Here is a 15,750-nt window from a genome sequence, read left to right on the forward strand (position 1 = left end):
AACTGAAAGGAGATGGTATGGAGTAGAAAAAAAACTGTAGTTCTCTATTATTTAAATAATTTTTTTTTATGATGCCACCTACATGTTTAAACCAAGTCTTGGGAACTCAACTCTCTGATATTTCCAGATTCTTGCTTTATGCTATTGGTATGTTTCTTTTTCTACTTTTTGTCCACATGAGACTGAAAAATTGATTAAGAGAATCACTGTTTAGACAAATACTTGTGGAGTTGTTCACAAATGTGGTGCCACGCCTGTGACAAGGTTTGCTTTTAGAATTTAAGCATGCAATTAGTAAGGGAAGAATATGGAAGGTGCTGAGGAGTTAATCATAAATGGGCTTAGTGAACACCAAATGAGTGGCTCTCAATATCTGCCTTCGTCATGCCATGTGAAGGACGTTGAGCTACAGGCACTTACACCAACCTCTGGTACCTTCACTTCTCATCCCCCCACCATCTAATCTTTTAACGTTTCATGCACTGACCCACAGGCAGGGTAGGAAGTCATGGGGAGCCACAGGTAAACCCCTCCCAGGTAAGAGAAAATTGACTTTAACAATCAGAGTCAACTTCTAGCTCACAAAGTTTATGGACATTAACCTAGTTCAAGACCAAACCCTCAAAAGAGTTTAGTTGAAACCACCTCATACAACTTTTAAGAGAAGTTGGGAAGCCAGGTCTGAAGAGATTTCATGATGGATGATAAAACAGTGCCTTACACAGCCCTAAGGAAAGCAAGTGAAATATCTGACATGAGAACCATCACTGTGTGCACTTAAAAGGGAGCAATGAAAATCACCCCACAAACTCCAGGAGATGCGGTTGTGGTTTAATGGCTTGTTTATGATGTTACACGGTCAGTCACGTTGACTCTGCCCACAGTTATCGTCATTATACAGAGAAACTCAGCAAATGAATTCTTCTCAGTGGAGAAACAAACTCTTTTGCCAAATGGGGTAGTAGTTTATCTGTCATCGAGTTGCTGAAACCAATCATTATTTTTAGGACTGCTGAAATTATTTAGGAATTCCTTGTTCCTGGGTAGACAGACCTGAAACTTTCAGCTGACCTTCACCACTTCTACTATTAGGACCGTAAATCTCCCCTGAAGGCAGACAGCACTTGGGTAATTTCAGAGAGGGCAAAGGAACAGAATTATAGGTTGTCTGGGAAGGGTTGAAAGATTAGACCTCTGGAGAAAAAAATAAAATGAATCACGTTGAAGAGTAACTATTTCTTAGGGTCAAAGTTTAAATGTCTGTAATCAGTGTTTTAGTTTCACTTGCTGCTAAGATAATTAATGCTCTCAGGTCTTGGATTAATTGAAAATAAAGCATTACATTTAGAACAGATAATATTTATTTCAAAAAACAAAGAGAACACTCATTAAAAAAAAACCCTGCCTATGAGTCATTAAAAACATGAAGACACAAATGATCTAACTTTACTTTTCTGAAATGAGTAATTTTCCTTTTCTTTAATTAATTATAAAATCACACAATAGATTTCTTTAAAACAAGAATGGTAAACTAATATTAGGGTAGCTCCTCAACTTCTTTTTTTTAAATGCCTCTTTCTGCATGTAGCTTAATTTGTATTCTGTCTAAAGCTTTCATTTAAAGAGCCACAGAAGATTTTGGAAGAAATTATAGGCTTCTGATCCTACTGTCTAGGAAGGTAGTTGTAGGCCCTGTGCTTAAGGCAACTTTGAAGGAATGTATGTCATGTGTGATCTTGTGTACACATGACTTAATCAACTGAATGGTGTGTTAAAATTGCTTTTGTACTCAGCAGCAAGTATGCCAGCATTGCATGTTTAACAATTCACTTAAATATTAAATATTTCTGATTTAAAAAAAATTAACACAATGTGCAATAATTGGGGAGAAAGCATATAAAATATTTTGTTATATCAGAAATTCTTGTTATAGACAGATGTTTCTGTAGTCTGCCTACAATATGGGTATTTGAATCCTAGTTTTCTCTTTTCATCTGATTCAGTTATACTGGGAAGAAGATAGCGTGAACATTAGGGCTTGGGAATGGGAAAATTTTAAAATTCAAATCTTCCAGATATCACATCAAGAATTCTGTAAGTACTTGAAAGCAGTTTGATATTGCACATAAAAAAAGTATAAAGTGGAAATGAAGTAGAAATCCATGACAAAGGAAGACACCGGTGAATCAGAGAGAGATGCAAAAACATGATTATTTTCAGGTGCTTGCTGAGAGTCAGTTTCACTGAAGAACAGTGGGCGTCTTCGTGGCTGGCTCATCCCAATCACTTCTATTGACAAGCAGGCTCTATTGCACCTGGGAGAGGTGGCTCTATCTGTTTCTCTGATAGAGAAATAGTTCTTCAACTGGCAAGTAATTCTTTAACTTTGACTCAGTTTCCTCATTATTCAACTTCTCAGAGCAATTGCGCCTTCAAATGTCATGTGGGAAATTGCAGTGAAAATAAAATCTCTCGTTCTTACTATTGGTCTCTAAAGTGCTGTTAATCACTCCTTCTAAGCCAGGAAAGCTTAGGGAATGGTGGCCTTGATCAGAATCAAGTTAGCTGCTCCTGTAACAACGCTGGTTTTTTTTTTTTTGTTGTTGTTGTTGTTTGTTTGTTTGTTTTTGAGATGGAATCTCCTGCTATCATCCAGACAGGAATGCAGTGGCATGATCTTGGCTTACTGCAACCTCCGCCTCCCGGGTTCAAGAGATTCTCCTACCTCAGCCTCCAGAATAGCTGTGATTACAGGCACGTGCCACCACGCCTGGCTAATTTTTGATATTTTTAGTAGAGACGGGGTTTCACTATGTTGGCCAGGCTGGTCTTGAACTCCTGACCTCAGGTAATCAGCCCGCCTCGGCCTCCCAAATGTGCTGGGATTATAGGCGTGAGCCACCGCACGCAGCCCAACCTTGGGTTCTAACGAGATCTTTCAGGACCCTAAGAAGGGCCCTGACATCTAGTGTATCACCACCAAGACCAGGTAGATCAGAAGCAATTATGTGGATAAAGCTAAAACACAACCCAAAACAACAAACAAAAACAAAAACACACTACATTCCAAACAAAAAACAAAAACAAAAACCTTCATTTCTGCTAATTTTATCAGCTATCTTGAAAGAAACAATCTTTTTTCCATTATTGTTATATCACTTGGGTTCTTTGCCTTGCTTATGTTCACATTTTTCTTAAAAATGAGCTCTCTGGCATCTTAATTTTAAGGACTAGTGGCCAAAGTAGAAGTTTTGGGAGGCCCCAGAGCAGAGCTATTTCCTTGTGTGAAGACCCACCTCCGGGGAAAGACTGCCCACACAGTGACCCAAACCCAGCCATAATGAAATAGCCAGATGTCTGCAATGATCTCAGCCCATCCACAGGTTTAAATTGTTGCTTGAATGTGTTCGGGTTTGGTTGGCTGGGCTCGTCATGTGTTTCTTGTTCTACTCTAACTCTTACTTCATCTTGTTATTATAATAATCTTCCAAAGAGCATTGTACTTCCAAGAATCTAGGTTAGATCTCTGGCTCTGAGTGACTTGATCAACACGCAAGTTATGTTTGTTTGAAAATTGCAGAGTTAAGCTCTCTATGCTTGTTAGAGCTAATTGTACATGGATACTTTTTTTTTTCTTTTTTTTTGAGACAGAGTCTTGCTCTGTTGCCCAGGCTGGAGTGCAGTGGCACGATCTCGGCTCACTGCAACCTCTGCCTCCTGGGTTCAAGCTCCCACCTCAGCCTCCCGATGGCTGGGACTACAGGTGCCACACCACCGTGCCCAGCTAATTTTTGTATTTTTCAGTAGAGACAGGGTTTCACCATGTTGGCCAGACTGGTCTCGAACTCCTGACCTCAGGTGATCCGCCCACCTCGGCCTCCAAAGTGCTGGGATTACAGGCATGAGCCACTGTGCCCGGCCCATGGATACTTTTTGTGTGTGGTGCCTGAAGCCCCATGCTAGGCATGGGATGATATTTAAATCTTTTGATAGCATGATTACTGAAGATTTAAAAGTGATTAGAAAGACTGCCCATGACCATCAGTTCATCGACAACACTGAAGGAAGCTTGCTTTCTTAAAGGCATAGAACCGTGTGGCAAGAACTCGCAACTACTGATGTTTAGAGATCTGCTGGAATGGGTAAACTGTCTCCCTTCCCAGAGCGGTGGATAATGTCATTTGTCTGCCTGTGGGTCTTTAATTATGGAGAGGCTGCTCAGTGCACCCCAATGGCCTTACTGCCTGCTCTTTCCAATTAATTTTGAAGTTATAACCCAAGTCAAGGGCTATTTCAGTGTGACCCTGAGGTTACTTTAGTTTCCCATTTGTATTTAAGTAAATAACTGTGATCAGTAATTTCCCTCTGGAACTGTTAGAGTATGGCAATTACATGAAATTTGCTTGGCTGTTGCATGCATGCCTAGAGTTAGAAGTAAGTGCATAAGGCACTTGGAATGATAATTTTTAAGATACGCATGAGCCCCTCAATAGTTCTGTGTTCTCTCTCTGGCTCATCAACAGTCCCATTGTCACTTTTAACTGCATAGACTCAAGAAGATACTGTACATGGAGTGTATATTCTTTTAACCCACAGAGAAGAAATGGTTTCTATTTTCTCCCACTTAGTTGAAACCATATATTTTCTCTGTGTACAAAAGCTAACACTTGGGCAATATTTTCTTGCTTGACTTTTTTTTTCTTTGCTGAAACAATATATTGATATTTCTAAAGTAAACTATGTTGTAGTTGGCTAGGAGACAGGCTGAATTTTGGAAATGAATTAAATAAAGTGTTATGTCTGAGTAACCACTTAGAAAAGTATTCACATTCTCAACAGCTCTTAAGGAAAGGCAATACATAATCAATAATGATGTACCGTTTGGTTCTTCTGAAAACCAAACCCTCCGTGTAGGGAATGCACTGATTTCTGAGAAATCAATGGACATTAATTTTATAGAACCACAAGTCAAATTTATAACAAGTGGAGAGAAATAAAAATCTTGACACATCAACTTCCTAGAAATAGGATAAATGTTTGATTATGCAGTCTGTTTTGTTATACCATAGAAATTCTAGAAGGTCCTGTGTTCTAGAATACAAATAGTGCTACAGAGTTTCATGACGACTAAATGATACACTGATGTTATAAGGTCTAACAAGTTAAGAAATGATAAAATACGACAAAGTAGATAAAATAGGCAATAAAGTAGAAAGGTTCAAAATTTGCTAATAAAAAAGCTGTCAAATTTTCACTATGCAACTTAATCACTATTAGACATTGACAAGTCCCTTAATATTCCTGAACTTCAGTTTTTTCATTTATAAAATAGAGATCCCAATACTTTACTCCAGTCACAAGGTTACTGGGAGGATGAATAAAATATTCATGATAGTGTATTATAAATCATAATATGCAATGCAAATGCTTATATATTCTAACAACATTTAATATGTGGCAAAGGTTCTTTAAGGATTGTAACCTTTGCTATCACTTTAAAGAGTTTACTGGAGTGCTGGTCTTGGAAGCTCACATTTTAAATTTTCTTCATAGATATTTATGTCTATAATTTGCATCAATGGTCAACAGAAGAATTGTGACAAATAATCTAAATAGCTCAGCTTCTCATAAATGTGGATAACAGATGTGGATAATAGCTTCTCATAGATATGGAGAAGAGCTAGTTCAATAAGCTTTTCTGCACATATATTCTTTTTGAAGAGAAATCAAAATAGAAAGCTATTAAATGAGCAAATGTGCTAGATCTCCATGGGGCAAATGGAAAGACCAGTGAGCACAGTATAAAGAGGCTGATGGTGTCTTTCATGTCCTGGCATTACCTTGCTGTGTGACTTTTTCCAAATCTCTTCTGATTCCAGTTTCCTGTGGAGCCTGATGAAAACAGGGGACCACAACTACGGAGAGGCTATTTGGGAATAATTTACCAGGGAAGGAGTGAAGGGGAAAGAGTCAGCAAGGATATGGCCTAGGAAAAGTGGACCCTTGGCCTGATTCACTGGCACCTCTGGCATAAAACACTCAAGAGCACTTTCCCCTTGGAAGAGGGGAGGGCAGAAGAGACTGGAGAAGGGGCAGCTGTGAGCTCTTAGGAGGCAATAGCAAGCGATACTCACAGCTGGGGTGGCGTGCACAGGCCCAGTAAAGAGAATGGAGGTGGGGCACCAAATCACATCTATGACAAACAGGCCATACATTTTTTTGTGAAGAGCTTTCTAACAAAAAGACATGTAAATGTGCATTATGAACAAATGACCCCAGACAGTTGCTTTCTCCATCTTTGTTGAACCCCTGTGGACTTTACTTTGCACAGCAAAAGAAACTACCATCAGAGTGAACAGGCAACCTACAGAATGGGAGAAAATTTTTGCAACCTACTCGTCTGACAAAGGGCTAATATCCAGAATCTACAATGAACTCAAACAAATTTACAAGAAAAAAACAAACAACCCCATCAAAAAGTGGGCGAAGAATATGAACAGACATTTCTCAAAAGAAGACATTTATGCAGCCAAAAAACACATGAGAAAATGCTCACCATCACTGGCCATCAGAGAAATGCAAATCCAAACCACAATGAGATACCATCTCACACCAGTTAGAATGGCGATCATTAAAAAGTCAGGAAACAACAGGTGCTGGAGAGGATGTGGAGAAATAGGAACACTTTTACACTGTTGGTGAGACTGTAAACTAGTTCAACCATTGTGGAAGACAGTGTGGCTATTCCTCAAGGATCTAGAACTAGAAATACCATTTGACCCATCCATCCCATTACTGGGTGTATACACAAAGGATTATAAATCATGCTGCTATAAAGACACATGCACATGTATGTTTATTGCAGCACTATTCACAATAGCAAAGACTTGGAACCAACCCAAATGTCCAACAATGACAGACTGGATTAAGAAAATGTGGCACATATACACCATGGAATACTATGCAGCCATAAAAAAGGATGATTTCATGTCCTTTGTAGAGACATGGATGAAGCTGGAAACCATCATTCTCAGCAAACTATTGCAAGGACAAAAAACCAAACACTGCATGTTCTCACTCATAGGTGGGAATTGAACAATGAGAACACATGGACACAGGAAGGGGAACATCGTGCTCTGGGGACTGTTGTGGGGTGGGGGAAGTGGGGAGGGATAGCTTTAGGAGATATACCTAATGCTAAATGACAAGTTAATGGCTGCAGCACACCAACATGGCACATGTATACATATGTAACAAACCTGCACATTGTGCACATGTACCCTAAAACTTAGAGTATAATAATAATAAAATTAAAAAAAAGAAAATATGAAACAAAGAAATAAACACTGTAAACCCCCCCCACCAAAAAAAAATCGGGTGGTAGGTTTACCTTCTTCATGCACATCCACCCTAATGGTAACTTTAGTAATAATATCACCTTGCCTTACAGGATAGACTCCAAGGAAAAGTCTACATTGCAAAAAAAATGCTAAGTTGATTTAAATGGCTTTCACAACTAAGATTCTCCTTTTTTTGTGTTCTCCCTTTTTTGCTTCTCCTTTTTGTGTTACCTTCCCATTCCCCATTTTCCATAAATATCAGGTTTGCTCTTTGACTGTCTAGGGCCAGCAGGATGAAAAGCTGTTATCAAAAACTAAGTATCGAGCATTTAATCATGTAAATTCCAGACCAAAATATGTAACCAATAGTTGATAAAAACTTAGAGTGGCCTTTCTCAAAGAGAGTCTTTCACTCTCCAAAAGATTTCCAGAAACAAAGATTTATGAAGCTAAATAATGTATGAGATATGCTGCACATTTCATTCCCATTGGGAGCTTCATCAGACACTTTGTAATTATTTAGTTTTTGGTTTACTGCTTATTGTCTGCCCGCCACTTGTTTGTGAGTACTGCAAGTGTGGGTGTCTGTCCTATTCATCATATCACTAGCCAGGTCCAGAACCTGGCTCATCACATAACTCTCAATAATTATTTGTTAAAAAAATTGTGTACATACTACAGTTTTGAAAATTTCTTGAGTAAAGAGTTCTGTTTGGTGTGTTGATCCAGAGTTTAATATGTTAATCCAGTGTTTCCCAAATGAATGTATGCACAAGAAATTCTCCTCTCCCCAAACACGCCCCCCTGCACACAGAGCACCCATCTGGAATATATTTGGGGAAATACTATCTTAGAGCCAGAAAAGACAGTTCAATAGAGGGTGGCATTTTGTGTTAGTCTAGATGGTGATTGTGTTGGTCATTCACCTTTTGCCCTTCCTCAAATCCATTCTCTACCCTCCTCTATCCTGACCTCCACAGGCTCCATCATCTGGGTTCCATTGCCCTCTCGTTTCCGGTTGGACTTGGCCAATGGGAAACAATGCAAGAGATGGAAGAGCAGGAAGACAGAGGTCAGAGTATGTCTTCCCTGCTCCCTTTGCTTGGAACTGCAGCCCTAGCGGTAGCTGCATCCCTCCCTGATGATCGTGCCTCCCCAGCAAACCCCCTTACTCTCTTTCGGCTCTCCCAGGATCCAATGACATGCATCTTCCCTCACTCTGTCAGGGCTTAGGTCTCAGGGTGGTAATGACTTGCCCTGGTACCATCCTTGGAATCCTCAGCTTTGCCTGTAGGTTTCCTTGATCACACCCAAGCCTCTGCAAAAATTTCTTTCATTACAGTCTCTTCAGAAACCCCATCAGAGCATGCCTTCTATTTTCTGTGGGTCCCAACTAACACAGGGATAGCTTCTTCAGTCTGAAATGAAATACCAAGAGGAAACTGAACATCTTCCTGGCAGAAACAGAGCTTCATATAGTGGTTTTGTTATTTTGATTAAAGTTTTATGAATTCTCAAAATCTCATCCACACCTCTACAAGTTAGTAAAGAAATAAACCCCAGAATCAGATATAATACTCTTATGAGTTATCCATCTTATTAGTTCACAGCTGGGAGGTAAACTATGTATGAGATAGTTTTAATCTATTCCTCACACAGATTTTGAGCTTTAAAGAAAATAGGAACTTATTCCACAGAGCCATCAATCATCATTTTTAATATAGTTCAGGACACTGTGGGCACTCACTGCACGTTAATTCAATTCTTATATTCATTTAGATGATGGTCACAGCTGCTGAGAGTAGACGAAGTGGAGGCACATCCATTAGCTTCAGACAAAAGGATAACATTTGGCAGCACTGTGAACAAAGGCAAAGAGGAACACATTTGTGAAAAGAAGTGACCAGTTCACAGGTGTAATGTTTAGCATTTTTTATGTGATAAGAAGCCTGAAATAATGTACTTAACGTTTTATTATTGTAAACTTGGCAATAATTAAGATCTATCCAGTGGTGGTAGAATAATACCTAATATTACCTAGTAATACCTAAGAGCATATGCCCTATAAATAGGGGTGGTTTTTGTAACTGCGTGAAGTGTTGGTTTTCTAATGAGCTTTAGTAGGTTTATTTGCCTTGGAAATCAATGGAGATGGGACACTGAAAATCAAATGATGTCATAAAACAAAATTCCCTAAGAGGCATGGAGAGAAAACTCCGCATTCTGATGATGGGAGTGTAGAAATCCATTGCCTTGCACAGGCCCCTAATGGATCCTATGAGCAGTAGGAGGGGGTTATGACTAGAGAAGATGCAGACATAGGCCTGTCCCTGCAAGTTAGTTCCCTGAGCTGGTCAGTAATAACCTACTATAACCTCAAAGAGCCTCCAGCAGCATCAGTATAAATACTTGACTGTCCATGGAGAGTTGGTCTTTTCCATCAAACATTTTGAGAGGAGTAAAGCCAATATAACCACTGCTTTTTTTTCTGAGCTCTTTTGCTCATTCCTCTATCCTTGATCTTAGTCCATTTCTTCTTGGCATAGTTTCTATCATCTTGGAAATTATTTTGCAGGATGAAACAGTTGCTTTTTAGTTGTGTGGGTCTTTGATAAGGGTTGTGTGTTTCCCTTCTGTGGAACTGGTTCATAGGATTGCAGGCTAAACCTGCTTAGGCAGCTAAACTTCTGATGAAAATAATGATAACTCAGTTCTGTTTTTTTCTTATAATTATTTGTTTTAATAATCACTGCTCATATGCTTATCTTCTTCTCAAAGTATTATGTCCTTGAAAACCTGTCTACAATCTCTGTCTTGTCCTAGGAGCTGACTCTTCCCAGGATGACTGAGAGTGGAAACAACCAGTCCCCCAGGGAAGGCCCAACCCTGACTTTTTATCTCCACTGAAAAATGATATCAGAATACATAGGTGTGGCCAGGTGCTCATGTCTGTAATCCCAGCACTTTGGGAGGCTGAGGCGGGTGGATTGCTTCGAGCCCAGACAACATGCTGAAACCCCATCTCTGCAAAAAATACAAAACTTAGCTGGGCGTGGTGGCCTGCACCTGTAGTCCCAGGTACGAGGTTGGGGTGGGGGTGGGAGGGTTGCTAAGGCAACGGGAGAATCACCTGAGCTTGGCGAAGTTGAGGCTGCAGTGAGCCCTGATCTCATCATGCTACTGCACTCCATCCTAGGCGACAAAGTGAGACCCTGTCTAAAAAAAAAAAAAAAAAAACAACTGTATTTCTCTAAGTCTGAGTTATTCAGTCTAAATACCATGTGTAATATATACAGTCAAGGTTAAGTTTTATCCAGCCTGGTCCAGAACTGACCACAGCTACTTCTCATGAATGAGTTTAGGACCTAGGCTTGCACCACCACTCTTGCTTCATACTTTGAGGTTCCAGCCCCTTACCTCGCCAGTTTTTGCTGCTTCTCACGTAGGTAAGTTTTGAACCATTTAACGATGTATAGCCAGAACATTTCACAACCCTTATATTTCTAGTAATGGTATCTATCATTTACGTAAATCAATGGTTGGTTCTTTTAGTTTCCCCAGATCAAACCATCTAAGTGGATCCAAGTCTCCAACTCTTCCCTGGTGAAAGCAGCTGTGTTTATTCATTCCTAGTATCTCCATTAAGATGTCAAAGATTCTGTAGACAAGCTTCAGAGTATAAACCCAGGGTACTGCATTTAATGTGCCAACCTAGCCCTTGAAAAAAATCCAGGTAGATCATGGCAAATTATGATTGACCACTGTAAGCTTAATCAAGTAGTAGCCTCAATCACAGCAGCTGTGCTGAATGCAGTGTCATATCAGTGTTGATATGTTCTAGAACATATCTACATAGCATCTCACACTTGGGAACTTGGTATGTGACTATTTATTTGGCATATATACCCTTCAGGTTGCACCAGGAATTAGGATCAAAAGCAGCTTCCAGTCACCTGGGATGAACAGTCGTACTCAGTCAGAGCCTCACCCCAGGGTGATGTTTACTGCTCTTTGACAGAATATAATCCAAAGGATCTTGGTTATCTTGACATTCCACAGAACATCATACTAATCCACTGCTTCCTAGGCATTTTGGTGCCTCCTGCCAGAGGTCTAGCAGGCAGAGAAAGGAGTTCTTAAAGTCACTTGCTGACACTGACATTTTGAGGGGTTAGGGTGTCTGCTACAGCATGGGAGCTGGGAAGAGGCCATCTGACATATAAGAGGTTCCCCGGGGAAACTCTTAGTACTTCCCTACAATAAGACATCATGGAAGGACGCCCCTCCCATGCTCCTGGGACCTCAATATGCCCTTACATTTCCACAGCTTTCTATTGCAAGACCTGCAAGACTTTCTTCTGGCTGAGTGTTTTTTGTTCTTGCCAGGGGTGGGGTGGGGTGGTGGGGGGCTGAAATCATTCTTGGTCAATGCATGGGTCAGGCCAATATGCCAGGGAGCCCATGCTCCCCGAAGCAGCTCTCAACCTGTGCTAGATTGGAGTTAGTGGGCAAATACCCCAACTTCTTCTCCCTTGGACTGGAACCAAATGGTGCTATGGAAAAGCAACTGCTACAGAAGGTTAGAATGGGAATAATCACAATGACTAGATAGGAAAGGCTTCACAGAAGAGGTGAAACTTTATCTTTTTTTAAAAAGACCAGATTTTGACAGGCAGCTAAGAGAAGGGAGTACATTAGATAAAAGGGAAGATACAGGCAAAGGTCTAGGACTATAATAGCTTTATTTTATACCAAGCAGAATAAACTAATATTTATTATTCTCCCTTCTATGTACCAAGCACTGTCTAGGTCATTAACCTACTTTTTTAGGGGGAAAGAAGAACAATTTTGAGTAGAGGAGCTTTCAAAATATATTAGAAATATGGCCAGCAAATTTGGATTCCAGCAACAAGAGTTTGAAGAATATTGGTGGGATTTGAATAGTGGAAGTGAAATATACAACCTCTTAGAGGTTAATTTGACAGCATGAGTAGCAAAGACTGGAGTAAAAAGATATTGGAGAGTGGAAAACTAATTGGGAGACCTTTGCAATAAACCAGATAAGTTATAACATGATGAGAGCCTCACTAGGACAAAGGCCATGTGAGATGGATAAGAATGTTCAGACATGAGACTGTCAAAAATATGCAAAGGGAAGAGGGAGAAATTAAGGATGTCCTGCTTGGTGGTGGAGGGAGGGGTGGAGGGAGAGACATTAAATGACAGAGAAAGAATCAGTAGTCTGGAAGGTAGAAGAAATTATTAACTTACTTCTCCACACCTCTCTTCCTTTTGCTGTAAACCTTTCCAGCTGGGAGCTTGTGAAACCTAATGCCAAAATCAGTGTTTGTGTACTGGATTCACCAGGGGAGAAAATGTTGAATCAGATTCTCAGCCTGCCTGAGCCTCCTACCTTTTGTATTCTTCATGTATCATAATATTTAATAAAAGGGAAACTGTAGTCTTTAATTCTCATTCCAATTTGCTGTCCTCGTGGAGAATCTTATTTTCACAACAGCAGGGATTGTACACATCCTAAATTTGGAATTTCTCGACTCTCATCAGGATAAGTCATATCTTTAATGGTTCTTAAGTATAGTGTTTGGGAATTTAATTATATTATGCAAAATTAGTAAACAGCTATTTCAAGACAGGGCTGATTAAAATGAATCTGCAAGGTATGGTATTTATTAGTATATTTTCAAAACTAAGTGATACAGTTTCCGAGCTCTTGAAGTTGAAAAATGAGTGGCGCCTACAAAACAATATAACGGGTATGATGGCTGGTGTTTAAGTTTCAGTGAAACAGTTGTTTTGACAATTTCCTATGGAACCGATTAGCTCCTTGAGGGGCTGGCTGAGATAGACACCTGCACTCTACCTTTTCCCCGCGTCACTTACATAGCCCTGTGTGTGTTTCTCACCTATTCTGGACTTTTTGTTCCTTTTCACATCGTTAGATGTCTTGTCTGCTGAAAGAGATTCCCAGCACTATGAGGATGGCTATGGTCAAAGGACTGGGGCACTGTGGAGGAAAGATGATAACCACAAGTGCTAAAAATAAGACGGATCTTTCATCAGCAGGCTGATGGCTCAACTGTCTGCTGGTCCTTTGGCTAAAGACATGGGGATCACCCCTCTGTGATGAGGTCACTATGTGCTAAAGGAGGCCCTTGGCTACTGTGTGCCTTACAGAATTCCATACATTCCTCTCTTAAGTTTCTTTGTTTGTGAAAATAAGGTGCCAGGTGCAATATATTCTAAAATCCTTTTCTCATTCTCCCTCTGTTTGTATGTTGTCCCTATCTTTATGTTCTTTCCTGTTTTTAAGGGATTCTGAAGCAAAGTCACTTATATGCTTAATACCAGATCATGTATAGCCTATGAAATCTGCCTTGATCTCCAAGATTGATTTTTAACAGGATTCCACAGTCAGGCTGCTGTTCCAGAGACCAACTGGCTGAGATATCAGCTGGACCTGATTACAAACTTTTGGAGTCAGATGATATCTCAAGATCATCACCAACAGTACTTTCTTTCTGTCTTTGGCCACCCTGAATATTACACGCAAACACTCATGTCACTTTGATCATATGTAGATCCTCTGGTATTCTGCTTTAGGGAAAGTAGTCGCTGTTAGCTCAGAACTCATTCATATTTAAAAATATGGATCCTCTGGATAGAAATTTAATTTAGAAGAAATAATAGAGGACAAACTGAAAATCTGTGATTTTTTTTTTATGGACACCTTTTCCCCCTTGCATTTTAAATTCTAGTCTGTGACTAGCCTTTGTTTCTCCCTTGGCACTGAAGGGAATGACATCGTCTTAGGTTGTATCTCTCAGGGCCTCAGCTCTAGGAATTATTTCTGTATCTTGCAGAAACCATGGACACTTCTATTATTTATGGTATATTTTCAATTGTGTGCCAGCTCCTCGGTTATTTTGGAATCAACACATTTTAACCTTGTTTCTGCTTCTTGTCATCCCTTTTCTTCTTTTAATAAGGGACATACACTTCTTTTTTGGCAGTTCAACATGATTTTCCTTCAGGACCTACCTGCGTAGAGGGGCTGTCTAATTGCATTATCTCCCCTCCTCTGGTACCCAGCTCAGGTTGGCCAAAATACCCCATCTCGTTAGCCTGAACCCTGATTGGTTCAGGTGAGGGTATGTGACCTAAATCAAACCACTCCTAAAGCCTCTCTGGGATTTTTCTTGGAGGTTTTAGGAAAGTGGCCCTTTCTTATACTTCATCTGGAATTGCTAGCTGTAAAGAGACTAAAACTTAAGACTTGCAAGGACCCATCTTTGCCACAACATGGGAGAATCTGCCTAAGAAAAAAGCCAGCACAAAGAATAACAAAGCCAGGAGAGAGGGGTGGGGAAGCTGCATGGAGTGCTTGAGATATTTGAGCCCCAGGCTTCTAGCTTTTCTAGGCCAATGGGCCAAAAAAATTCCCATTCCTGCATAAGCTAGTTAAGTTGGATTTCTGCCACAGCATCTTAAGGGTTTCTGACAAAAATACAAACACAAAATGCCAGTTATAGTAAAAAATGTCACCTTAAACAAGAAAAGTTCTCACTAGCCTATAACCAGAAATATAATTCCACAGATATTAAGTAATGAATGAATGAGAGAGGCTAGATTCTTGTTATATCCAGAAGGTGGGGACATGAAACCAAAGTATCTCCAATTTCTAGTTTCTCCAGTCTAAGGCCCACCTCCCCAAACATTACTTCCTTTTCTAGAAGCAGCCTATTTCTGAGACAGTGAACAGTGGAAATGGCTTCTCCTGTGGAAGACGCCCACCCCATCCACAAGAACAAGGTGTTGCTCACTGGTCCCAGCAGGCTGATGGCTCAGCACATACTGGTTAATAATGCATTCAGCCTTTAACAACATCTTGTGTAGGACAGTGCCCGACCAGTCCAGTCCAGTTGAGTTGCTTTTGTTAGTGTCTCTCTTCCAGCAAGAGATGAAGATCACTCCTTAACCTATGACATTCCTTAACTTATGGCACTTAATGCTGCCTAGTTAACACACCCCTTAACAGTGACTAGAATTCAGCTGAAAGTCTGGCTCTGCTGCTAAGCAGCTATTTGATTGGTGCAAAAGTAGCTATTGGGTTGACGCCATTACTTTTAATTTCAAAAACTGCAGTTACTTTTGTACCAACCTAATAAATCACATTTTAAGAGTAACTCAGCCACCAGAGTGAGACACTGTCTAAAAAAAAAGAAAAAAGAGTAGCTCAGCCACTCTGAGTTTTGTTTTATTCAAATATAAAATGGGGCAAACAGAGTACTTACCTCACAGACATGTCAAAAGATGAACTGAGACACTAACTATCAGGTTCTTAGCCTAGTGCCTGACTTGTAATAAGTTCTCTACATAATATAACTAGATA

The 15,750-nt window shown here is 40.1% G+C and overlaps 1 long non-coding RNA gene across 2 annotated transcripts; it reads left to right on the forward strand.

Annotated features, from left to right (window-relative positions):
- The first annotated feature begins 10,376 nt into the window (after positions 1–10,376).
- Positions 10,377–12,809, forward strand: LOC105373679 (uncharacterized). 2 transcript variants are annotated; one of them, XR_923461.3, is made up of 3 exons: positions 10,377–10,418; positions 10,637–10,786; positions 12,652–12,809. It is a non-coding gene; the product is annotated as an uncharacterized LOC105373679 (long non-coding RNA). The 2 variants fall into 2 exon arrangements; XR_007087265.1 differs by lacking the exon at positions 10,377–10,418 and having other exon boundaries at positions 10,573–10,786.
- Positions 12,810–15,750: the final 2,941 nt, after the last annotated feature.

This window comes from Homo sapiens, chromosome 2, assembly GCF_000001405.40.
Source record: "Homo sapiens chromosome 2, GRCh38.p14 Primary Assembly".
NCBI lineage: Eukaryota > Metazoa > Chordata > Mammalia > Primates > Hominidae > Homo > Homo sapiens.